At 39.5% G+C, this 26,386-nt stretch overlaps 1 protein-coding gene across 1 annotated transcript in view, besides 1 other annotated feature; it reads right to left on the bottom strand.

Annotated features, from left to right (window-relative positions):
- The window catches only part of MUC19 (mucin 19, oligomeric (gene/pseudogene)), a gene marked incomplete in the record, with an annotated part of 177,364 nt that overhangs the window by 36,134 nt on the left and 114,844 nt on the right, over positions 1-26,386 (bottom strand). Inside the window, 46 exon segments of the mRNA NM_173600.2 lie at positions 415-468; positions 1,341-1,391; positions 1,546-1,599; positions 2,342-2,395; positions 2,542-2,595; positions 3,362-3,415; positions 3,514-3,567; positions 4,113-4,166; positions 4,304-4,351; positions 5,394-5,447; positions 6,317-6,367; positions 6,514-6,567; positions 6,837-6,869; positions 7,280-7,333; positions 7,475-7,528; positions 8,298-8,351; positions 9,003-9,056; positions 9,194-9,241; positions 9,517-9,552; positions 10,055-10,108; positions 10,982-11,035; positions 11,179-11,232; positions 11,928-11,981; positions 13,656-13,709; positions 13,847-13,900; positions 14,168-14,197; positions 14,652-14,705; positions 15,568-15,621; positions 15,765-15,818; positions 16,081-16,113; positions 16,718-16,771; positions 17,957-18,010; positions 18,157-18,210; positions 18,479-18,523; positions 19,129-19,182; positions 19,406-19,450; positions 19,596-19,649; positions 20,181-20,234; positions 20,840-20,893; positions 21,042-21,095; positions 22,403-22,456; positions 23,600-23,653; positions 23,774-23,827; positions 24,402-24,455; positions 24,612-24,665; positions 25,537-25,590. Coding sequence (NP_775871.2) covers positions 415-468; positions 1,341-1,391; positions 1,546-1,599; positions 2,342-2,395; positions 2,542-2,595; positions 3,362-3,415; positions 3,514-3,567; positions 4,113-4,166; positions 4,304-4,351; positions 5,394-5,447; positions 6,317-6,367; positions 6,514-6,567; positions 6,837-6,869; positions 7,280-7,333; positions 7,475-7,528; positions 8,298-8,351; positions 9,003-9,056; positions 9,194-9,241; positions 9,517-9,552; positions 10,055-10,108; positions 10,982-11,035; positions 11,179-11,232; positions 11,928-11,981; positions 13,656-13,709; positions 13,847-13,900; positions 14,168-14,197; positions 14,652-14,705; positions 15,568-15,621; positions 15,765-15,818; positions 16,081-16,113; positions 16,718-16,771; positions 17,957-18,010; positions 18,157-18,210; positions 18,479-18,523; positions 19,129-19,182; positions 19,406-19,450; positions 19,596-19,649; positions 20,181-20,234; positions 20,840-20,893; positions 21,042-21,095; positions 22,403-22,456; positions 23,600-23,653; positions 23,774-23,827; positions 24,402-24,455; positions 24,612-24,665; positions 25,537-25,590 — 2,364 coding nt within the window.
- Positions 15,862-16,363: an enhancer, noted in NCBI's record as "NANOG hESC enhancer chr12:40912063-40912564 (GRCh37/hg19 assembly coordinates)". NCBI's record gives its function as "activates a minimal SCP1, AML or CMV promoter by ChIP-STARR-seq in naive H9 embryonic stem cells {active_cell/tissue: H9 hESC(naive)}" and the evidence as "EXISTENCE:reporter gene assay evidence [ECO:0000049][PMID:30033119]".

Below are 26,386 nucleotides of genomic sequence, written 5' to 3'. Positions count from 1 at the left end.
TAAAATATAGGCATCTTAATGATTTCTACACTGATTTGAAGCTAGTACACTAATGTTATATAGACCATGCTCTTTTCAAAGGGAAAACCATTTCAGAGCCAGAGCTATTATTGTAACCCTTCTCTGCAGAGTCCTAGACCCCTGAGGTTAGTATCTGAAAAGGCAAAGCCTTTAGGAAATTTGGGCCCACATATTTACAAATCCAAATCCAAGGAGAATCTCTGTTTCCCTTAAAATATTATAGCTTTAAAGGAAATTTAAAACCACATTCCATATTAAAGTGATTTTTGCATTATCAATGCAAATTTTCTGTAACTTAAAATTATTTCAAAATTTAAAGCTCATTAAAAAAAGTTTTTCTCTACAAAATCTATCAAAATACAACAATAAATGTAAATACCCCAAAGTCTTTACCTGATTTTATTTCTGCTCCAGTGGTGCCACCTCCTTCTAGGGAAGTTGTGGTTTCTTAAAGATGAAAAGAAAACTAAAATTAATTGAATATTAAGGAAGAGGGATGGGCAAGTGGATGTCAATACATGAGATAAGCCCAATGCAAAATGTCTTGTCATCTACTAAGTCAGAAAAGAAGACCTCCTGACTGTAAAAGTGATGGAAACCTTTAATACACACATTTAATTTTTTAAATGGGGAGATAAAACATTTTAACTCACATGGTTCTTAGTTGGACCTCAGTTATTTCTTAATTGGAATAAGATATGTAGAATTCTTAATAAAAAAGCGTATATAGTAAGGAACTCATAAATGATAGATATGCTCACTACTGTCATCATCATTATTTATTGCTTTAAATATTATAATTTTCATGTGCAAGAATTTTGCCAGTGGCTACCAAAAATGAACTTGGTATTAGAGAACCATGGGAATCAATATCTCAATCTTTAGCCATAATGAGAAGAAAATGGCCTACAATGGGGTAAGGGAGCTATGTTTTCTCAGTGTGTCAAGAGGCTCTTTTCAGAGGTTCTAGAATCAAGAGTTAATTTATATATGTTCTTCACACCATTTATATCTCATAGAATATTTAATGACAGCCATTCCAATAACTCAATTACTTCCTTTAGATATCAGTGAGAGAAAGACATTTCTTTCCAATCACCCAACTGATTCTCAGTGCCTTAGCTCCATGCTGAAGTCTCCTTGAAGCAGAGGAAACGAAGATAAAAGAGTTTGAGGATCTGACGTTTGGTTATTAGGTAAAATCCTGCCTAACCAGTAATCTTTGTTCAGAAAATGCTCTTCACAGGAGGTACAAACAGTAAATGTGATTCAGATAACCTTGTCTACTGGGAAGCAGTTAGTAGTTCATCAGTGCTTACCTGCGGCAGGTGCAGCCCCAGTCGTTCTACTTGCTCCAGGGGAAATTGTGGCTATTGAGAGAGGAGGGACATAAATGAAAAAGATTCAGGGGCCTAGGGATGGAATGGTGGTGCTTCTGCATAGAAGCACCAAAGGAAAGACATTATTGTAGCAAGCACTCAAGAAACGATTCCTGTGGAATCAGTAAAGAAACTGTGGACTCACCTGTGCTGAAACTTCCAGGGGAAACTGTTGTGCCAGGCGCCACCCAAGAGGTGCCTGAAACACATTATATCTCTTTTAGGGTCAGGTCTTCATTTGACTTACTGACCATTATGACTCAGTAAGTCAAGTGAAGACCTGACTCTTAAAGGGATATAATGTATTTATTTGCCATAACTGAAATCTCTTTTTTTGAGGTTGTGGCAAAGGGTGAACTAGATGTATTTGCTTGCATTCAACAATTCATAACCAAAGCAAATAGAGAAATACTGTTTGCAACTTCAGGTGCTTCTCCTGGAAATTTAATAGAAGGGAAACTAGATGCATTTCCCTAATGTTGACAAACTTGCTACCCTGGCACAGTGATGCCTGCTGTGAGATAGAAAGAAGGGGAAATAAGGTTTAAGTGTGCTGCAAACTAGATGTAGCACAAAATATTAAAGCAAAGTTTTATCCATATACAGATACACAGATATGCATGCATGCATCCTGGTTCCATGGAATTTTTTTCTATTTCACACACATACACACACTCACACACACACACACAAGGAAAACATTCTGAATTCCAGCTCCAATTCTGGTGATAGGTGTAACACCACTGGCGACATCTCAACCCATTCGCAGACCTGGAGCAGTGAGGCTCAATTCTAAAATTAGTAGATTTCCAAAAAAATTTAACTCTATAGAGAATTCATTTTTAATTGCTTGCAGTGTACCTAAATAAAATGTAAATACTCTTAAGAGAAGCTTGATTCCTAATCTGGATGACCCCAAATCATGGACTGTTTATTCTCACCAGTTTTGAAGCCAGTTCCAGAAGTACCAGTCCCTTTTGTGGAAGTTGTGGCCTCTGAGGAAAAAAAGTAGGAGAATAGTGACATCTGGGAATTGGAATACTACAGAGGATATTGGGGTATTACTTTATAATAGCATCCCTAAAAGAGATATCATGACATCTGACATTAAATAAGATGCATTCCCTTCCTGTTAAGCTACCTGTGTTAGAACTTCCAGGTATAATGGTCATTCTAGACAATTCTCCAGTGGTACCTAAAATGCCAAAAAAGGGAAATGGAGCAATAGATCATTATCTCCCCAGTTAAGCTTGGAAGCATCCATGTGTGGCCCTAAAGTACTGGAAGCCCTTTCCTGAGGACACTGTATCCCTGTAGAGAATGGAAAATGAACAGTCTCCAAGTACTTGATTTTCCAGGCCAACCTGGGCCGTGTGTGTTGCTACTGGGTTTCCCTTTCTCTATGAGGGAAGGGACGAATAAGGCTTAAATCACCCTGACCTATTTCCCTTCCAGGAGCATAGCCCCCTGGTGTGACAGAGGTGCCTACGGGAGAAACAAAGCACACTTCTATATTTATAAGTAGGACTCTTTGATACAACTTGGAGGATTTTAATAATCAGTTGTTTTCACTAAGTTTTGTAGGAGGGGAGAAATATCATGTGTAAGTAAAGGAGAAAAATGATAGAAAATGTCTCAAACTGTGGGTGGAAAGGAAAACTGGGTAAGGAGAGTTGGAAGTCCTGGAAAGTTGGAATATATGCAATATACGCTCATACTTCATATCAGAAAAAAATCGTTTCCATAAGCCAGGACACTGAAGGCAGCCTGGCTGAGACATCTGAGGTCATGAATTCACAAGCAGAATAACTGACCAGGTTGATATGACACACTGTGGCCACAGAGAAAATGCAGGACCCTCCCTCAAAAGACTTTCACTGCATTACTGTTCATTACTGTTCACTGCAGCCACCCAGATAGAGAGATGATGAGAGCCCCAGGCCTCAGCCTGACAAGCTCACCTCCTGGTGGTCCTGCTCGGGTAGTCCCACTGCCTCCTGGGAAAGTTGTGGCCTCTGAGAGAGGGAGGAATTGGAGGTATAAAGACTGGACAGGACATTCTGGGTTTCCCAAAGCTGATATTGCTTAAGGGGCCATGTTCAGAATTCCTGACCTGTGTGGGCACTTCCAGGTTCCAGAACTTTGCCAGAGGTGCCCTCAGTAGTATCTGAAATAAGAAAGGTGGTCAGCTGGTCAATGTGTTGCCTCTCATGAAATGGGCATGGGCTCCTAAAGGAAAGATAATAACTTTGTTTCTTCAATATACCAGTACATTTATTTCTCTGGGCTTTCTAGTTTTAAGAGTTTATCCATATATTGCTCGTGGAATATATAATTCCCTCGGTGAGTTTACACAGAAAGTCCTCCACCACTGAGACCCTTTTTTTAGGGTTTAATTACAGGGAGATAGATTCAGGCCAAGTCACCTCTATAACTGCAAGGGAATGGGCCCCATGCTAGCCTGATGAAGAGGGCTTTGACACAGGGAACAAAACACAAGGAGGGAACGTTGAAGTGTTGGAACTGTATCTATTGATGTTAAATATTGAACACCTACTAAATATGTTTTTAATATGCCAAATGTTGCCATATTAATATGCCAAAAATATGGCATATGTTTTTAATATGCCAAAAGTCAAAGAATTTTGCTATATTTCAAGTGAGACATGGGAAGTCATTACAAAGTACATTTAGTTCCTTAACGGAGCTCACCTGTGATTATTTCACCTCTTGTTTTTCCATTTTCTCCTACAGAAGTTGTGGCTTCTGCAAATGAGAGAAGAGGAATAACAGTGAGGACAAAGATTTGAAGAATCTGAGAAGAGTATGGTAGGATCACCCAGGCAGACAACTCACTGAGGAGCCCTTCCCAAGCACTGGTTCCTCCCAGCCTGGTGCTTTACCTGAGTTGGAGCTCCCAGGGGCAACTGTTGTACCAGAGGGCACTGCAGCTGTGCATAGGTGGGAAAAAAAAAAAAAAAAAAAGATCAACGTGAGAACAATTTTGCGATCCCTGGAAGAATGTGGGCAACAAGTCTATCTGTGACTTTGAAACAGCAAAAGATACTTCTGGACCTATAACTGACAGAAAGATAAACGTGTTGCATGTCTACCATTTGACTTTGCGAAGCCAAGGTTAACACCATGGCTAATATACCTGCCAATCTTTGCCAAGGTTAAAGGTCATGTAAAAGGCTTTTTCCATATTTACCTAATGAAAAAAAAAAGAAGGGAGAAGAGAAGGAGGAGGAGGAAGATAAGAGGAGTAGGAAGAGGAGAAGGAAGAGGAAGAAGAGAAGAAAGAAGCAGCAGAGGAGGAAAAAAAAGAAGCCGGAGGAGAAGAAGCAAGAGGAGGAGGCAGAGGACAGGAGGAGGAAGAGGAGGAGGAGAAAGGAGAAGGAAGAGGAAAAAAAAAAGTATGAAGAGAGAGAAAAAGAAGAAGGAAGAGGATGAGGTAGAGAAAGAGAAGAAAGGAACAGGAGGAGAGGAAAGACGGGGAACAAGAAGAAAAGAAAAAGGAGGAGGAGGAGGCAGAGAAGAAAGAAGAAGAAAGATTTAGAATTTTTTCTTTGAACTAAAATGAGACATCTTAATGATTTCTAAGATGAATAGAAGTCAGTACTGTAATGTAATACAGACTAAGCTCTTTTCACAGGAAGAACCATTTCAGAGCCAGAGCTATTATATCTACTCTCTCAAGAGGCCTAGAACCCAGGGGTTAGTCCCTGAGAAGGGAAAGCCTTTAAGAAATTTGGGGCCAAGTGGTTCCAAATCTGAATCCAAAAAGTATTGCTGGTTTCCTCGAAATACCATAGCCCCCAAAGGATATAAAAACTTCATTCCACGTGAAAGGGATTCTTTGCTTTATCTTTGCACATTTTACATAATGTAATATTTCAAAATAAAAGGCTTAAAAAACCCATTTTCCCTAAGAAATCCATGAACTTGGAATCAAACTGTAACAATAAATAATGAAAATACCCAAATCTTCACCTGATTTTATTTCTGCTCCAGTGGTACCACTTCCTCCTAGGGAAGTTGTGGTCTCTTAAAGATGGAGAGAAAACCAAAATTAATTGAGTATGAAGGAAGAGAGGTGCGTTAAGCTGATGAGACTACATGAGACAAATACAATTCAAAATGTCTTATCATCTACTACTAAGTCAGAAAAGAAACCCTTTTCCATGTAAAAGTGTTTATCTTCAAGACCAAGTTTAATTGTCCATTTTTAACTCATGGGTCTTCTTTGGACCTTAGGTAGTTGCAATGGTAATAAGGTATGTAAAGGCCGTACACAATATGTACATAGCAAGGAAATTATAAATGATCAATACGCTCATTACTATTATCATCATTATTTATTGCTTTAAGTATTAGACTTTCCATGAGAAAAAATTTTGCCGGTGACTACCAGTGTGTAGTAATTACATTGTGGAATTAGAAATAAGAATCAATATCTCAATTCTTCACCCATAATGAGAAAGAGAATGGCCTAGGATGGGGATAAGAAAACTATGTGTTTCCTCAATGTGTCAACAAGCTCTGTTCAGAGGTTTCTAGAAACAAGAGTTAATCTATATATATTTTCTACACATCATTTGTATCTCATGGAATATTTAATGAATAAAATGTCAATAACTCAATCACTTCACTTAAATATCAATGAGAGGAAGAAAAACATTTATCTTCAATCTCCTAACTGATTCTCAGTGCCTTGGCTCCATGATGAAGTTTCCTTGAAGCAGGGGAAAGGAAAGTTAAAAAGTTTGAGTGTCTGGCCTTCAGTTATTAGATAAAATCTTGCCTATGTGATAATCTTTCTTCAGAAAAATGCTCTTCACAGACAGTACAAGCAGTAGATGTGATTCAGGCAACGTTGTCTACTGGGAGGCAGGTAGTGATTCGTCAGTGCTTACCTGAGTTGGGGCCAGCCCTAGTTATTCCACTTGCTCCAGAAGAAGTTGTGGCTGCGAAGAGAGGAAGAACATAAATAGAAAAGATTTAGGGGACTTAAAATGGAAAGGTGGTTATTCTGCATAAAATCACCAAAAGGAAAATCATATTATCACAGCAAGTACCCATGAAAGGATTCCCCACCACACTGTGGACTCACCTGTGCTGAAGCTTCCAGGGGCAACTGTTGTGGCAAGAGATACCCCAGAGGTGCCTGAAACACAAAGAGACTGAGGTGATCATGGTAAATGAGTAAATCAAATGAAGAACTGAATCTAAAAGGAATATGCTCTATGTATGTATATATTTATTTATTTATATGCCACCACAGAAATCTCTCACTGAGCATGAGGCAGATGGTGAACTACATGTATTTGCTTGCTTTCAACAATTCAAACCAAAGCACATAGAAATTGTTCCCAACTTCAGGCACACCTGGAAATTTGATAAAAGCAAAACTAGATACATTTCCCCAATGCTCACCTGCTTGTTTCCCTGGGGCAGAAGTGATGCCTGCTGTGAGGTAGAAAGAAGAGGGAAAAAAGGGTTTAAATGTATTAAAACTTGAGACATAAGAAAGAAAATACTGAGCCGGCATTTTTGTTCACATATACACTTATAAATGCATGTGTCCTGGGTCCATGGGGCTCTTTTCTGTTTCACATACACACACTGAAAACTTTCTGAATTCCACCTAAACTGCTAGCAATAGTTGTAACACAAATGGAGAAATTCCATCCCATCCTCGGAAATGGAACAGTAATGCTCCATTTTAAAATTAGTAGATTTAAAAAAAAGTATCTCCACCAGCAAATCTATTTTGAATCACTTGCATTGTCCCTAAATAAAATAAACACAAACTCTCTCAAGAAAAGCTTGAGAGACCTAATAATTATGATGCCACATCATGGGTTGCTTCTTCTCACCAATTTTGAATCCAGTTCCAGAAGTACCTGTCCCTTCTGTGGAAGTGGTGGCCTCTGATGGAAGAAAGAGGAGAATGAAAAAGGCTGGGAATTTAGAATACTGGAAGAAGATATTGGGATATTACTTTACCATAGAAGCCATAAAAGAAATATGACAGCTGACATTAAATAAAAATTTACTTCTTGTTAAGCTACCTGTGTTAGAACTTCCAGATATAAAGTTCGTTCCAGAAAATTCTCCAGTGGTACCTAAAATGCCAAAAAAAAAAAAAAAGTTGGGGGGAAGGAAATAAAGCAACAGAGCATTTTGTCTCCAATTAAACTTGGAAGCATCAATGTAGCCCTAAAGCACTGGAAGCCCTCTCATGTGGACACTGTTTCTGTAGAGAATGGAAAATGATCACCTTCCTATCATTTCATTTTCCAGGCCCGCACGATGGATAGGTTGCTGCTGGGATACCCTTTCACTGAGGCAAGCGGGGAATAGGGCTTTAAATCACCCTGACCTGTTTCCTTTCCAGGAACATATCCCTCTGGTGTGACAGAGGTACCTACAGGAGATATAAATCATTGTTTATATTTATAAGTAGGACTGTGTGATACAACTTGGGGCATTTTAATAATCAGTTGTCTTCCTGAAGCTTTCTAGTGAGGGGAGAGAGGAAACAAACATCATGTGTAAGTATATGAGAAAAATGATAAAAAGTATCAAGCTGTGAGTGGAAAGGCTGGGTAAGGGAATAGGAAGTCCTGGAAGGTTGGAATATATGAAATATTTTCTAATATGTTTAATCAGAAAAAAATAATGTCTCCATAAACTAGAATAGTGCAGACAGCTTGGCTGACAATCCAAGTCATGAAATTTACAAGTCTAATATCTGACCAAGGTTGATATGACACAATATGGCTGAGGAGAAAATGCAGGCCCTTCCTTCAAATGCGTTCACATTATTTGTTCCCTGTACCCACCCTGATAGAGAGATGATGAGAGCCCCAGGTCTCAGTCTGCCAAGCTCACCTCTGGGTAATCCTGCTCAGGTGGCCCCGCTGCCTCCTGAGAAAGTTGTGGCCTCTGAGAGAGAAAGGAATTGGAGGTATGAAGACTGCACAGGACATTCTGGGGTCCCATAAGCTTATTGGCCAAGGGCCATGTTCTGAATGCCTGACCTGTGTGGACACTTCCATCTTTCAGAGTTCTGCCAGAAATGCCCTCAGTAGTACCCCAAATAGGAAAGGATTATGGACAGTTGGTCAATTTGTTGCCCCTTATGATATAAGCATAGGCTCTTAAAGAAAAAAACTTTTTTCTTCAATACAACAGAAAATTTATTTCTCTGCAGTTTGTATTTTAATACTTAATCCATATATTATTCATTATATAAACTATAATTCCCTCAGCAAGTTTACAGAGAAAGTCCTCTACCAGCAAGTTCCATTTTTTAGGGTTTAGATACAGAAAGATAGATTTGGGCCCAAGTCACATATATAGCTGTCAGGGAATGGGCCCCATGATATCCTGATAAAGGGATTTTAGAGCCAAGGCACAAGAAACAAGGAGAAAATGTTGAAGTGTCTGACCTATATTTATTGATGTTAAATTTTGAACATCTGTTAAATTTTTGCCTAATATGCCAAATATGGAAAATTCAAAAACTTTTGTCATATTTCAAGAAAGACATGGGAAATTATAACAAAGTACACTTAGTTCCTTAACAGAACTCACCTGTGATTACTTCGGCTCTTGTTATTCTGCTTTCTTCTACAGAAGTTGTGGCCTCTGCAAAACAGGGAAAAAGAATGGCAGTGAGGGCAAAGATTAGAAGAATCTGAGAAGAGTACGGTAGGGTCACCCAGGCAGACACCTCACTGAGGAGCACTTTCCAAGCAGTGGTTCCTCCCAGCCTGGTGCTTTACCTGAGTTGGAGCTCCCAGGGGTGACTCTTGTACCAGAGGGCACTCCAGCTGTGCCAAGGTAGAAAAGAAAAGAGAAAGATGGATATGGGAACTCTTTCATGACCCTTGGAAAAATGTGGCCAACAGTATGTCTATTTGTGACTTTGAAGCAAGAAAGCACACTTCCTGAAATTATAACTGACATGAGGACTAACAGGCTTCCGGTTTATTGTGTGCTTTTGCAAAGCCAAGGGTAACGCAGTGGCTAATATTCCTGCCCCGAATATTATTACCAAGATTTGTTCAAAGTTGAAGGTCATATGAAAGGCTTTCCCCAAGTTTACCTGTCCTACTTTCTGGTGCTGTAGTGGTGGTTCCTACTGAAAATCAAAAGAGAAAGGGAGAAGAAAGAAGAGGAGAAAACAAGAAAGAACAAGAAGGAAGAAAGACAATTTTGAATTTTTATCTCTAAACTAAAATATGACATCTTGGTGATTTCTACATTGTAGAAATCAGTACACTAATGGCATACAGACTATGCCCTTTTCAAAGGGAAAACCTTTTCAAAACCAGAGCTATTATTGCAAGTCTCCTCTCCAGAGACCTAGAACCCTGAGGTTAGTCTCTCAGAAGGGAAAGACTTTAGAAATTTTGGTCTCAAGAGTTTACAAGTCCAAATCCAAGAACAAACTCTGTTTTCTTGAAATATTACAGCCTCAAAGGAAATTTAAACCCACATTCCACATTAAAAAGATTCTCTGCATTATCTATGATAATTTTCTGTAATTTAAATTTATTTTCAAATAAAAAGCTCATTAAAAATTTTTCTCTAAGAAATCGATCAAAGAACAACAATAAATACAAATACTCCAAAGTCTTTACCTAATTTTATTTTTGCTCCAGTGGTGCCACTTCCTCCTAGGGAAGTTGTGGTCTCTAAAAGATGAAAAGAAACCAAAATTAATTGAGTATTAAGAAAGAGGTATGAGCTAAGCTGATGTCATTACATGAGATAACCTCAATTCAAAATGTCTTGACACTTTCTATTAAGTCAGAAAAGAAGGCCTTCTGACTTTAAAAGTAATGAAAACCATAAATATACAAATTTAATTGTGAAAATGAGAAGATACATCATTTATAAATTTATTTTACTAATTGAAGCTTAGGTATTTCTTAATTGGAATAAGATATGTAAACCTCTAATTTAAAAAGCAGATACAGTGAGGAACTCATAAATGATCGACATGCTCATTACTATTATCATCATTATTTATTGCTTTAAGTATTAGACTTTTCATGTGTAAGAATTTTTCCAGTGGCTATTACACTGGAACTTGGAATTAGAGAGGTATAGGAATCAATATTTTTACTCTTTACACAGAATGAAAAGAAAATGGCCTTCGATGGGGTGAGGTTAATCTCTGTTGTCTTAATGTGTCAAAAAGCATTTTTCAGAGGTTTCTAGAACCTGAAGTTCATCTATATTTTTTCATGTACCATTTCTATAGATTATTTAATGAGAAAAATTTTAATAGCTATTATTTTCTTTATATATCACTGAGAGAAAGAAAGACCTTTCTCTCCAATCAAACAACTGATGCTCAGTGCCTTAGCTCCGTGGTGAAGTCTCCTTGAAGCAGAAGAAAGGAAGATAAAGGCATTTGAGTGTCCAACTTTTACATATTAGGTAAAATCTGGCCTATTTGTAAAATTTTTTTTTTAAATGCCCTACACAGGAAGTACAAACGGTAGATGTGATCAAGGCAAGGTGACCTACTGGGAAGGAGGTAGTGGATTGTCAGTTCTTACTTGTAGTTGTTGTAACCCCAGTCATTCCACTTGCTCCAGGAGAAGTTGTGGCTGCTGGAAGAAGAAGGACACAAATGGAAAAGATTCAGGGGGCATGGAATGGAATGGTGGAGCTCCTGCATAGAAACACCAGAAGGAAAGACCTGTTACTGTAGCAAGCACCTGTGAAAGGACTCTCCGCCACACAGTGGACTCACCTGTGCTGAAACTTCCTGGGGCAACCGTTGTGGCAGGAGCTACCTCTGAGGTGCCTGAAACACAAAGAAACTGAGGTGATCACAGTGAACGAGTAAGTCAAATGAGGACCCGAATCTAAAAGGTATATGCTATATTTCTGTATTTATTTGCCATAACAGAATCCTCTTTCTCTGAGCACGAGGCAAGTGGAAAATTTGATGTATTTGTCTGCTTTCAGCAATTCATAACAAAAGGAGATACAATGTTTCCAAGTACAAGCACAACTGAAAATTTGATAAGAGAGAAACTAGATGCATTTTCCCAATGCTCAGCTGCTTGCTTCCCTGGTGCTGCAGTGATGCCTGCTGTGAGATAGAAAGAGGAGGAAAAAGAGTTTGAATGTATTGAACTTCACATGTAGGAGAAAATACTGAGCCAGCATTTTTGTTCAAATGTACACGTTAAATGTATGTGTCCTGGTTCCACAGAGCTCTTCTGTTTCACACACATGCACTGAAACTTTCTGAATTCCACCTAAACTGCTAGCGAGAGTTGGAACATAAATGGAGAAGTGCATCGTATCCTCAGAAATGAAGCAGTAATGATCCACTTTAGAATTAGTGGATTTTCAAAACAAAACGTACCTCCACTAGCAAATCTATTTTGAATCACTTGCAATGTCCCTAAATAACACAAACACAAACTCTCTCTAGAAAAGCTTGAGAGACCTAATACTTATGATGCCAAATCATGGGCTGTTTCTTCTCACCAGTTTTGAATCCAGTTCCAGAAGTACCAGTCCCTTCTGTGGAAGTGGTGGCCTCTGATGGAAGAAAGAGGAGAATGAAAAAGGCTGGGAATTTAGAATACTGGAAGAAGATATTTTATCAGAGAAGCCTTAAAAAAATCATGACATCTGACATTAAAATAAGAGGTATTTCTTGTTAAGCTATCTGTGTTAGAACTTCCAGATATAAAGTTCGTTCTAGACAATTCTCCAGTGGTAACTAAAATGCAAAAAAAAAAAAAAAAAAAAAAAAAAAAAAAAAGAAAGGAAATAAAGGAATAGAGCATTTTTGTCTCCAGTTAAGCTTGGAAGCATCAATGTAGCCCTAAAGCACTGGAAGCCCTCTCCTGTGGACACTCTATTTCTATAGCGAATGGAAAATGAACAACTTCCTAGCACTTCATTTTCCAGGCCAACATGCGATGGATGTGTTGCTTCTGGGATTCCCTTTCACTATGAGGCAAGAGAAAAATAGGGTTTAAATCAACCTGACCTGTTTCACTCCTAGGAATATATCCCCCTGGTGTGACAGAGGGGCCTACAGGATGAAAAAATCATTGTTTTATACTTATAAGCAGGACTGTGTGATACAACTTGGGGCATTTTAATAATCAGTTGTCTTCATGAAGCTTTCTAGTGAGAGGAGAGAGGAAATCAACATCATGTGTAAGTGTATGAGAAAAATGAGAAAAAAGTATCAAGCTGTGAGTGAAAAAGCAATGTGGGTAGGGGAATAGGAAGTCCTGGAAGGCAAAAATATATGAAATATTTTTAAATATCTTTTATGAGAAAAAATAATATCTCCATAAGCTAGAATAGTACCTGCCTGACTATCCAAGGTCATGAAATTCAGGAGCAGAATAACTGACCAGGTTGACAGGACACCATATTGCCCAGAATAAAATGCAGGCCCTACTTCAAATGCCTTCACTATTTGTTCTCTGTAGCTACCAGATAGAGACATGATGAGAGCCTCAGGCCTAAGCCTGACAAGCTCACCCCCGGTGTGGTCCTGCTTGGGTGGTTCTGCTGCCTCCTGGGAAAGTTGTGGCCTCTGAGAGAGAAAGGAATTAGAAGTATGAAGACTGCCCTGGACATTCTATGGCCCCATAACCTGTATTTCCCAAAGGGCCATGTTCAGAATTCCTGACCTGTGTGGGCACTTTTAGCCTCCAGAGTTCTGCCAGAGATGCCCTCAGTAGTACCTGAAAAAGGAAAAGATTGAGGTCAGTCGGTCAGTTTGTTGCTCCTCATGATATGGGCATAGGCTCCTAAAGAAAAAAAAAACAAATTTTTTCTTTAATAAAACAGAAAATTTATTTCTCTGGAGTTTGCATTTTTAAGAGTTGATCCATCCATTGCCCATAGAACCTATAATTCCCTCAGAAAGTTTACAGAGAAAGTCCTCTGCCACTGAATTTTATTTTTAGAATTTCAGTCCAGAAAGATAGATTTGGGCCAAAGTCACCTATATAACTGTCAGGGAATAGGCCTTATGATGCCCGGATGAAGGGTTCCAAGACCCAAGGCAAAAGACATAAGGGAAAAACGTTGAAGTATCTGAACTATATTTATTGATATTAAATATTGAACATCTGCTAAATTTTTGCCTAATATGCCAAATATAGAAAATTTTAAAACTTTTGCCATATTTCTATCAAGACATGGGAAATTACAACAAAGTAAACTTAGTTCCTTAACAGAGCTAACCTGTGATTGTTTCAGCTCCTGTTTTTCCACTTTCTCCTACAGAAGTTGTGGCCTCTGCAAAACAGGGACAAAGAACAGCAGTGAGGGCAAAGATTAGAAGCATCTGAGAAAAGCATGGTAGGGTCACCCAGGCAGATGCCTCACTGAGGAGCCCTTTCCAAGTAGTGGTTCCTCCCAGCCTGGTGCTTTACCTGAGTTGGAGCTCCCAGGGGAGACTGTTGTAGCAGAGGGCACTCCAGCTGTGCCTAGGTAGGAAAGAAGAGAGAGGGATCTACATGGGAACTCTTTTGTGACCCTAGAAAAATGTGGCCAACAGTAGGTCTATTTGTGACTTTGAAGCAAGAAAACACACTTCCTGGACTTATAACTGACATAAGGACAACCATGTTTCAGATTTATTGTGTTTCTTTACAAGGCCAAGGTTAATGCAGTAAGCAATATCCCGCCTTCATCATAATGATTATTGTTATGCCAATGTTGAAGGTCCTATGAAAGGCTTTCCCCAAGTTTACCTGTCCTACTTCCTGGTGCTCCAGTGGTGGCTCCACATGAAAAGAGATTAGGAGAAGAAGAGGAGAAGGAAAGAAGAAGAAAGAAGAAAGAAAATCTTAAATTTTTATCTATGAACAGGACACAAATGTTATACAGACTATGCTCTTTTCAAACGGAAAACCACTTCAAAGCCAGAGCTATTATTGCAACTCTCCTCTCCAGAGACCTAGAACCCTGAGGTTAGTCTCCCGAAAGGAAAGACTTTAGGAACTTTGGACTCAAGAGTTTACAAATTCAAATCTAAGAAGAAACTCTGTTTCCTTGAAATACTATAGCCTCAAAGGAAATTTAAAACCACACTCCATATTAAAGGGAATCTCTACATTATCTGTGATAATTTTCTGTAATTTAAATTTATTGCCAAATTAAGAGCTCATTAAAAAAATTTCCTCTAAGAAATTTATCAAAATACAACAATAAACATAAATACCTCAAAGTCTTTACCTGATTTTATTTCTGCTCCAGTGGTGCCACTTCCTCCTAGGGAAGTTGTGGTCTCTTGAAGAAAACCAAAATTAATTGAGTATTAAGAAAGAGAAATGAGCTAAGCTGATGTCATTACAAGAGAACTCAATTCAAAATGTCTGGACACTTTCTATTAAGTCAGAAAAGAAGGCCTTCTGACTTTAAAAGTAATGGAAAACATAAATATATAAGTTTAATTGTTAAAACGGAGAGATACAGCACTTGTAAATTTATCTTCTTAATTGGACCTTAGGTATTTCTTAATTGGAATAAAATATGTAAACCTCTAATTTAAAAAGTGGATATAGTAAGGAATTCATAAATGATCAATATGCTCATTACTATAATCATCATTATTTATTGCTTTAAGTATTACACTCTTCATGTGTAAAAGTTTTGCCAGTGGCTACCACATTGGAACTTAGAGTGATAGGAATCAATATTTTTATTCTTTACACATAATGAAAAGAAAACAACCTTTGATGGGCTCAGGGAACTCTGTTTTGTTAATGTGTCAGCAAGCTCTTTCAGAGGTTTCTAGACCAGGAGTTAATCTATATGTTTTGCATGCACCATTTCTATAGAATATTTAATGAGAAAAATGTTAATAGCTATTATTTCCTTTATATATCATTGAGGGAAAGAAAGACTTTTCTCTCCAATCACACAACTGATGTTCAGTGCCTTAGCTCCATGGTGAAGTCTCCTTGAAGCAGAGGAAAGGAAGATAAAAGTATTTGAGTGTCTGACATTTATGTATTAGGTAAAATCTTGTCCATTTGGAATAGTGTTTTTTTTTTCCAACAAAAATGCTCTTCACAGGACGTACAAATGGTACATGTGATTGAAGCAATGTGACCTACTGTGAAGGAGGTAGTGGATTGTCAGTTCTTACTTGTAGTTGTTGTAACCCCAGTCGTTCCACTTGCTCCAGGAGAAGTTGTGGCTGCTGGAAGAAGAAAGACACAAATGGAAAAGATTCAGGGGGCATGGAATGGAATGGTGGAGCTCCTGCATAGAAGCACCAAAAGGAAAGGCATGTTACTGTAGCAAGCACCCATGAAAGGATTCCCCACCACAGAGTAGACTCACCTGTGCTGAAACTTCCTGGGGCAACTGTTGTGGAAGGAGCTACCTCCGAGGTGCCTGGAACACAAAGAGACTGAGGTGATCATAGTGAATGAGTAAGTCAAATGAGGACCCAAATCTAAAAGGGATATGCTGTATTTCTGTATTTATTTGCCATAACAGAAATCTCTTTCTCTGAGCACAGGGAAGGTGGAAAACTAGATGTATTTCCTGCTTTCAACAGTTCATAACAAAAGGAGATAGAGAGACAATGTTTCAAGTACAAACACAACTGAAAACTTGACAAAAGAGAAACTAGATGCATTTTCCCAATGCTCACCTGCTTGCTTCCCTGTTGCTGCAGTGATGCCTGCTGTGAGATAGAAAGAGCAGGGAAGAAAGGCTTAAATGTGTTGAAATTTCAGAGATAGGAGAAAATGTTGGGCAAGCCAATTGTGGGCTACACAAGTATGGATAAATGCACCCTGTTTCCATGAGGCTCTTTTCTACTTCACGCACGTTCACACAGAAAACTTTCTGGTTTCCAGCTCAAATGCTGGTGAGACTTGTAACACAATGGAAAAATCCCATCCCAACCTCGGACTTGATGAAGGGAGGCTCAATTCTAGGATTGGTAGTTTTTCTAAATAAATAAACAAATAAATAACAGCAATCCTATTTTGAATTACTTGCAATGTCTCTAAATGAAACACAAACTCTCTCAAGGAAAGCTTGAGAGTACTAATCCTTACGAGGCCAAAGTATGGGCTGTTTATTGTCACCAGTTTTGAGTTCAGTTCCAGCAGTGCCACTCCCTACAATGGAAGTTGTGGCTTCTGAGGGAAAAAATAGAATAGTGAAGTCTGGGAATTTGGAATACTGGAGGGGATTTGGGGGTGTAATTTATCATAGCAGTCCTAAAAGAGATATTGTGACATGTGACATTAAATAAGGGCATTTCCTTCTTGTTAAACTACCTGTGGTGGAATTTTCAGATATAATGGTTGTTCCAGATAATTCTCCAGTGTCACCTAAAATGCAAAAAAGGAAAATGGAACTATAGAGCATTATCTCCCCAACTAAGCTTGGAAGCATCAATGTGGCCCTAAAGCACTAGAAGCCCATTCCTGAGGACACTATTTCTATAGAATAAAAAATGAACAGCTGCTTAGCACTGGGCTTTCCAGGCCAACATGGGATAGATGTGTGGCTACTGGGTTTCCCTTTCACTACAAGGCAAGGGGAGAATAGGGCTTTAGATCACCCTGAACTGTTTGCCTTCCAGAGACATAGTGCTGTGACAGAAGTGCCTACAGGAGAAACAAAGCATGGTTTTATCTTTATAAGTAGAACTCTTTCATGCAACTTGAGGCATTTTAATAATCAGTTGACTTCATGAAGCTTTCTAGTGAGGGGATACAGAAAATAAGCATCATGTATAATTAAAGGAGAAAAATGATAGAAAATGTCAAGCTGAATAAAAAGGAATGAGATCACGTCTTCTGCAGGCACATGGATGGAGCTGGAGGCCATCATCCTCAGCAAACTAACACAGGAACGGAAAACCAAAAACTGCTTGTTCTCACTCATAAGTTGGGGTTGAGCAATGAGATCACATGGCCAAGAGGCCACGTTCAGAGTGCCTGACCTGTGTGGGCACTTCCAGCTTCCAGAGTTTTCCCAGAGATGCCCTCAGTAGTACCTGAAATAAGAAAGGATTGTAACTGGTCAATTTGCGGTCCTTAATTTAACAGGCATGGGCTCTTAATAATAAAACAAATGAAATGTTTGTTTCTTTAATATACCAGGAAATTAATTTTTCTGGACTTTAATTTTGAGAGTGAATCCACACTTTGCCCATGAAACATATCATTCCCTGAGCAAGTTTACTGTGATTTGTTCTCAGAGAAAGTCCTCCACCACTAGTCCCTTTCTTAGGGTTTAATGATAGCAGTGTACACTTGGGCCCAAATCATCTATGTAACTGTCAGGGAATGGGTCTCATGATGCTGTGATGAAGGATCCATAGACACACAGTGCAAGACATAAGGAGGAAAAGTTGAAAGGTCTGTACTGGATTTATCGATGTCAAATATTGGACTTCTGTTAGATGTTCCTTAATATGCTAATTCTGGGAAATCCAAAAAGTGTTTACATATTTCAGGCCAGACTCTTGGGAAGGTTTTAGGAATAGTTAATATCTTAACAGAGCTCACCTGTGATTATTTCAGCTTTTGTTGTTTCTCTTTCTCCTACAGAAGTTGTGGCCTCTGAGAAAGAGGAAAACAGGACAGGAGTGATGAACAATATTTCAAGACCATGGAAAACTTAAGGTGGTTCTCCTACCCAGGATAACACTGAAGGAGAATTTGTCATAGATGGACTCCTGGAGGAATCTGCCACCTCAGGGACTCACCTGTGTTGGAACTGCCAGGTGCAACAGTTGTGCCAGGAGCTACCCCAGTGGTGGCTGAAACACAAAGGGTCTGTGATCATCACAGTGACTTGTGTTTGTCTTCTGAAGACCTTCCTCCAGAAGGAATCTGGGTGTATCTTTGTTATATCAAAGGGCCCTTTCACTGCTTCCTGATTAACTGAGAATCATATGCCTTTGCTATGACCCATAGCAAATTAAAAGAGCAATGGAAATAGTAATGTGCCCAAATTGAGGCCCCTCCACTGAATTTCATACATTCACTCCCAGACAAGGAAACAGGGTGGCTTTCCCTCCCCTTCACCTGTCAGGCTCCCAGTTGCTTGGCCTCCTGAGGCTGCAGGGGTGCCTGCCATGGGATGAAAACCAGAACAATGTTGTCATGTGCCAAGAACACTGGAAAATATTTCATATCATTATTGCTTTTTTGAGTAAGAAAACTTTTATACAGGATATGCTTGCTTCGAGAATTTATATTGTTTTCTTTCCAGAAATACAATATTTGTCAGCTCCCTCTACACCACAGTGGTATACGTGGTTTTGCAGGAGAAATCTGTTATGCTGACTGTACCACCAGCCCCTCTTTAGAAAGTTACAGCTGTGGGGCTAGATGTTGGTTTTAAGAGTTTTCCAGAATGTGTTCAGTGTAAGAAAACACTGAAAGTAAATGCAAACCACTACCTAGGAAAACACACTCCCAACAGGCGAGCCTAGGGAGAGTCATAATTTATGCTAAACCCTAAGCTGTGCTCTGTTCATTCTCACTGGGGCTGGATCCAGATGGAGGAACGCTGCGGCCTTCTGTTAAAGTTGCAGCCTCTGAGAGAGGAAGTGGTGAATGGTGAGATCAGAATTTGGGATATTGAGAAAACAATGAGGTTGGTATTTCATCAAAGCAGCTCTAATAACTATATTATGTGGTTAAACATGGAGATTTCCTGCTTATTAACCTACCGGTGTGGGAAGTTCTAGATATAGCAGTTGTCCCAGAGAATTCTTTTGTAGTAACTAAAAGTGGAAAAAGAAAGGGATAAACATGGCATTACCCCCTAAATCAGTTGTGGAAATAGCTATGTGGCTTTAATCCACTGGAAGAACATTCCTGAAAGCCTCTGTTTTGTAAGGAAATGAACTATAAGTGACTACCACTTCATGTCCTGGCCTGTTGCTCCTGGGGTTCCCTTTCCATAGAGCACACTGAATGTTGATGGTAACCCTATCTCCTCCTCACCTGTTTCACTTTCAGATGCTGAACTGTCTGGTGTGACAGAGGTGCCTTCAGGAGAAAAAAAGCAGATGACAGATTCATCTTTCTGAATTTTACTCATCAATTACCTCAGGCATTTTGATACTGAGAATTTGAAAATAGAACTTGTTAACTCTAATCCTCGCATATGAGGACTGTATTTAGTCCTTCCTACCTGGCCTGGAGCTCTGTGAAGTGCTGCTGGCTCCAGGTGAAACCACAGTTGTACCTATTAAGGCAAGTGGAGTGAAAAATTCTTCAAATAATACATTTCACCTTTCAACTAAGCTTTATTAAATATCTCTTTCATGTGATATTGTTTTAGGCCCTTGGGATGTATCAGTGAGCAAAATGTTCAAAGACCTCTCTCCTAATGCACCTTACATTCTAGTAACTGGAGGCCAGCAATGAACAATAAACGTAATAAATAAGTCAGTGTGAAAGATGTTAGTAAACACTTTAGGAAAAAGGCAAATTGTATAAAAGGGTCAGGGACCCTGATAAGCAGGGTTTATCCAGCAGCTTGCCCTCATCCTTGCTACATAATAACTAGCTCTGCAAGCCTGGGCTCCTGGAAATCCAGAGGGATAACCCAGGTGAGGCCAGGGAATTCCTATGCACACCCAGGTTTTGACTCTGGCATGTTATATTTCCAGGGGAAATGCAGGCTCCTTTCCTCTACCCACTTTCACACCCATGTTTTCACTGCAGAGAACAGGGATTTGATAAAAGCACCAAGGTCTTAGAGTAAAAAGCTCACCTCCTGGACGTTCTGCTTGGCTGGTGTCACTCCCTACTATGGAAGTTGTGGCACCTGAGAAAGAAAAGAAAGAAGGGGTAAAGATTAAGGTTTGGGAGACTATACACAGTGCTGTGGGCAGAGTATGTCAACCACGGTGCCCATGTCCAGATTTTGCATGTATTTTCAGACTGGCTTGTGTTGTAACTTCCAGGTTTCAGTGTTTTTCCAGAGACTACACTAGTAATACTTACAATAACAAAGAGATGGAGTCACTAGTTCAACTGTTTGTCCACTGATTTGAATAGGGATCTCAAATCCCCACTTAGAAGCAAATTGTTACTCTGACACTTGCAGTGCTAGAAGTAATTCGTACTTGTCCCATGCAACATTTCTTTCCACAGCAATTTTACTGAGACAGTTCTCAACTATAATGTCCTTCTTTTTGGCAGGGAAATTGGAATTTTCTCCCCATATTACCTATTTATCTGTCATGGTTTTACATTTCGATGCTTTAATGAAAGCCCTTCTAAGCTCAGGAAATAAGGAGGCAATATAATGACTGTCTAGTCTTTTTCTCTGTATTTTCACAATATAGCATATGCGAATCATGTAGATATTTTCAGAAGACTATTGAAGGTTTCATTAGGAATTAAAGGTCTTAGTCTAGCAGCACTCACCCGTGGCTCTTCCAATGTTTGTTGTTCCACTTACTCCTAGGAAAGTGGTGGCCTCTAAGGGAAACAAAGAGATAAGTGTTACCTGGAGAATATTTAAGGATTGTGGAGAAGATATGGTGCTACTCCTGCAAAAAATAATACAAAGGAGATATCTAATTATGGGAGGGCACGTGGAAGATTCCATGTCAACCTGTTGACTTACCTGTCTTGGAACTGCCAGGGGCAACAGTTGTGCCAGGAGCTACTCCAGTGGTGGCTGAAACACAAGAGGAACTGGCATCACCACAGTGACTCCCGCTTGTGTCCTGAAGACCTGCCTCTAGAAGGAATCTGTTTACATCAAAGGCCAGTAGTAACTGGATGTCAAAGGCCACTTTCTCTGGCTGCCACTCGGATGTGTTTTCCCATTCATTAATAAACTACCAAGTTGGGGCATTATATCTAGCATCCCACGACAGTGAGACAGATAGTTTTCTCCCATATTTACCTATTTCACCGCTAGGAGTAGAAGACAAAAAATATTTGCTTTATAATAATTGTATCTATTTCTAATTACATTTTTAATCGACACATAATTTTACATATTTCCAGCGTGAGGTTTTGATATAGATGTATACACATTGTAATAGTCAAGTCATGGTCTTTAGCATAACCATAATCTCTGACATTTATCATAGCTTTGTGGTAAGAAAATTTAGAATCCTCTTGATATGGTTTGGCTGTGTCCCCACCCAAATCTCATCTTGAAATGTAGCTCCCACAATTCACATGTGTCATGGGAGGGACCCGGTGGGAGATAGTTGAACCATGGGAGTGGGTCTTTCCCCTGCTGTTTTTATGACAGTGAATAAGTCTCACAAGATCTGATGGTTTTATAAAGGGGAGTTCCCCTGCACAAGCTCTCTCTTGCCTGTTGCCATGTAAGACATGCCTTTCGCCTTCCACCATGATTGTGAGGCCTCCATAGCCTTGTGGAACTGTGAGTCCATTAAATCTCTTTTTCTTTATAAACTATGCAGTCTTGGGTATGTCTTTATCAGCAGCATGAAAATGGACTGACACATATCTCTTCAAGGTATTTTCAAATATATACTATAATATTGCTTACTATAGGCACTCCACTGCACTATAAACCACCGGAACTAATGCCTGCTATCTAATTGTGATTTTGTACCCATTGACTTACTACTAATTATTTCTATTACTTTAGGGCAAAAAAAAAATCTATGTAGGCATGATTCCAAGATTCATATATCTCTACTTCCCAGGGTTAAAACTGCTTTTAGTTCCTACTACTACGTTGAAAATGTTTCAATGTAATGTTATGGGGAAATTTCTCAGAACAATTACATTTCATTTACACCCCAACTAGAAGAGTCAACCCATTTGAAAAGTGTATATTAAAAGGTTAAGGAAAATATTAAATTAAAAAATATATTTGGCCTCAGACAGATTGTCCCTAAATAAATTACTTAATATTCTGTAGGAAAGCCTACTTCCAAGCAAGTTATCCCGAAAGTCATGGTTCTTGGTAACTCCCCAATCATAAGCTGCCATCCTCACCTGTTCTGGATTCACTTCCGGTACTGCTCCTGTCTCCTGTGAGAGTTGTGGCCTCTGAGGAAAGAAAGAGAAGAATCAAGAGGTCTAGGAAATTTAAGATGCTGGTAAAAAGTACTGAGTTGCTATTTTATCACTGAATTTCTATAAAGTTATCACCCATGCAAGATGACGATGACCTTCTTAGTGAACTACCTGTGCTAGAACCTCCCAGTGAAATGGTTGTCCCACAGAATTTACCAGAAGTCCCTAAAATGAGAAACTAAAGGAACTAATAGAGCAAGCAGTACTGGAATCAGCAACGTGGTCCTGAACCACTGGAAGACCTTTCTTGAAAACTTGTTTCAGAAAATATGAACCATGAATAATTTTTGCCAACTTACTAATGTTTTTATACTGACTATCCCTTCCCCTGTACTCTACTGAAAAAGGAAGCTTAACTTCACTTTCTTGATTTCACTTCAAATGTTGTGCTTTTCTTGTGCTCCCAGGAAGGAGAAAAAGACTTGAACATTCTAAATGTTCTCATATCAATAACCGGCGATATTGTGCTTATCATATGCTGAGCAATGCCCTCCTATGAGATATTTATACCTTCCTCTGCTGACTTTAAGTAGTTCATCCTACCTTGCTTGGGACCCTGCGAACTGCTGCTGACACCAAATGAAACTGTGGTGGTAGCTGCTAAATTAAACATAGTGACACTCTGCATAAGAATATACCAGTCACCCATCTCACATTATGGAAGCATTTCCTGTGTGCCTGACATCCACTTCTCAGAGACAAGAATAGACAGAGGTCTCTGTCTCATGTGATCTACATTTATGGGAGAGAGAAAACACGAAATAAACAAGAAGTAAAATAAATATGCTCGAGAGATGGCAGTAGGTGATAGTGCTATGCAGAGTCATGATGACCTGAGTGGGGAGAATCAGGGTTCTGGGGATGCTGCTGCAGGTCAGTGGGCCTCAGACAGGTGTCCAGAGAACTAACACTGTCACACGGGCCATGGGGCAACACCTAACTTAGATAACCCTGTGTCTGAAACTCCTTAGCAGAACTACTCAGATTGGCCAGAATACATGTTGTCCTTCCAGACAAGAAGTAACCCCCTTTCCTTGGCCCCGTTTCTCATTTATGTGTTATCCTGAGCACAAAACGACGATGAGAACTCTGAAGCCTGGGACTGATGAAGCTTACCTCCTGGAGCTTCTGATCTGGTGGTCCTGACCCCTCTGGTGGAACTTGTGGCCTCTGAGAGAAAAGAAAGCAAGGATGACATCTACAGTATGGGAATTACAGGGTTATGTAACCCTAGGAGCCTGTCGCCCGAGCAGCCATGGTGTTGCATTCCCTGTGTGCTTGTGGACTTGCCTGTGTTGTTGTTCCCAGGTTCCAGAGTCTTTCCAGAGAAAGCCCCAGTGGTAGCTATTAAGAAACAGATGGGTAATAATGGGTAAGTACCTCATCATCATCAAGTGGACAGAGAATAACAACCTCATAAATGGATAAATCTGTATACTTATTCAATATCTCAGGAAACTGGGCTTTAAATCCCAAAAGGTCAACTATATATTCCTCATGTAATATCCTTCCCACAGTATAGTACCAAAAGAATTTAACTTATTGGGTCTCCATTTAGCTAGAGTTCTGGAAGAGGCTTCTAGCAGCTATCACTCTAGATTCTCTATGTAACTGTCCAATGGCTGCATGATTACCTTGGGGACTAGTGGGAGGGTCTGCTTAAAGTACAGAAATATATTAAATTTTGAGTTTCTGATTTGCTATCACTGAGTTGCTATTTCTGTGTGTCTGATTTGCTATTAATTTCAATAGCAAACCTGCAGTTACTTTTGCACAAACTTGATATACTTAATAAATGAAGGTAAGATCTTACCTAACAATGTTCCATGTGAAAAAATATGTGACATGCATACATTTCAAGCAATAACCTTTCATGGATATTATTAAAGAGTGAGTGCAACGACCGAGCAATGCTCACCGGTGGTTATTCTACCTCTTGTCATTGCACTTCCACCTAGGGAAGCTGTGGCCCCTGAGAGACAGAAAAACAGGGAAGGCATATTAGGAAATATTCAAGGACCATGAAAAGAAGACGATACAACTTCTTGAAAGAACAGCAGCAGAGGAGACATCGAACATCGAAATATGGGAGGAGCTCTGAAGGTTCCCTGGCAACCCGCAGACTCACCCGTGTTGGAACTGCCAGGGGCAAGAGTTGTGCCAGGAGCTGCCCTGGTGGTGGCTGAAACACAAAGAAGAGTGGGATCACCATGGTGATCAACCTTTCCCTTTCCTATAGGCCTGCCTCTAAAAACTACCCAGACTTATCTGAATTATTTATGAATGGTGCTTTCACTGATTCTTCCTGATATGGTGCCCTGTATATTTTCTCCTTGTCCATTTTACTAGCAAAACAATCAAGAGGTCCGAATCCTTAACTTGAGACCATATGTCTGGTCTTCATCAGGAGACAGGTAGTGTTCCCCTTATTTACTATTTTATGCCCCGGAATATGGAAGACCAAAACAATTTCCCTGGGACTCTTATGCGTCAAGAATATACTAAACATTTCTGTTGTTTCTGAGGCATGAAAACCATTATTTATGTATGTTTCTAAGGTTCATTTAAGTTATCTCTTCTTCCCTAGATCAAAACTGTTCATAGTTCCCAGTAACACCCTGGCAACGTTTCTATGTAACCTCACAGGAGAAACTTCTCAGAACAAATGCAATAGATACCCCAATTTAAAAGAGGCTACTGGTAAAGTTTTAGAAAATATAAAATCTAAAGGAAGTTCTACTGGGCCTAAGATTCATTATCCCTAAATGAATGCATAATATTCTGCAGAAAAGTCCACTTCCAAACAAGTCATCCTAATGAGAGTCAAGCTTCACAGTAACACGTGAATTATGGGCTGCTCATCCTCACCTGCTCTGGATTCAGTTCCAGTACTGCCCTTGCCTCCTGTTAAAGTTGCGGCCGCTGAGAAAAGAAAGAATAGGATCAAGAGGTCTGGGAGACACTGGCAAAAAGCATTAAGTTGCTATTTTATGATTGCAGCTCTACAAAGTCATCATGCATTCAAAATGAGGATTTCCTTCCCATTCAACTACCTGTGTAGGAACCTCCAGATGTAATTCTTGTCCCAGGGAATTCACCAGAAGTACCTACAATGAGAAAGTAAAGCAGCTAATAGGACAAACAACACTGGAAACAGCAATACTGCCTTGATACACTGGAAGACCTTTCCTCATAATCTCTGTTTCTGAAGGAAATGAATCGTGAATGGTTTTCCCTACAATGTATACACTATTGTTTTGCTGCTGGCTATTTTTTCTATCACGGTCTATTTAAAAAGAGGGAAGTTTAATCTCACTTTTTAGGTTTCACATCCAGTGACTTGGCTCTCTAGTGATCCAGGAGCAAGAAAAAGTCTTGAACATTCTAAGTGTTCTCCTTTGTGGAAAAGGTAATATTGTAATTATCATGTTTTTAAGAATAAACACATAGGAGATGTTTATAGATTCATTTAGTGTTTTTCTGTAGCCTGTGCCAGCTGGCATGGGATCCTGTGAACTGCTGCTGACACGAAGGGAAATGAGGGTGGTAGCCATTGAAGTAAACAGAGTGACATTCTACATAAGAATATGCCTGTCACTCCTCTCATATTCTGGAAGCATTTCCACTGTGTCTGACAGTCTTCTGTCAATGAGAAGAAGAGACAAGGGTCTCTGCCACATGTGATTTACATTTGTGGGAGAAAGAACAGAGGAAATAAACAAGAAGTGTAAAAAACATGTTAGTGAGATAGTAGCAGGTGATTGTACTTTGCAGAATCATGATGAGCAGAACGGGGAGAATCAGTGTTCCAGGAAGGCTGCTGTAGCTCAGTGGGCCACAGACAGGTGTCTAGAGAACTAACATTGTCACCCAGGCCATGGCGCAATGCCTGACTTAGATGGC

Source organism: Homo sapiens, chromosome 12 (assembly GCF_000001405.40).
Source record: "Homo sapiens chromosome 12, GRCh38.p14 Primary Assembly".
NCBI classification, from domain to species: Eukaryota; Metazoa; Chordata; class Mammalia; order Primates; family Hominidae; genus Homo; species Homo sapiens.
This window is presented reverse-complemented; position numbering and strand designations above follow the sequence as displayed.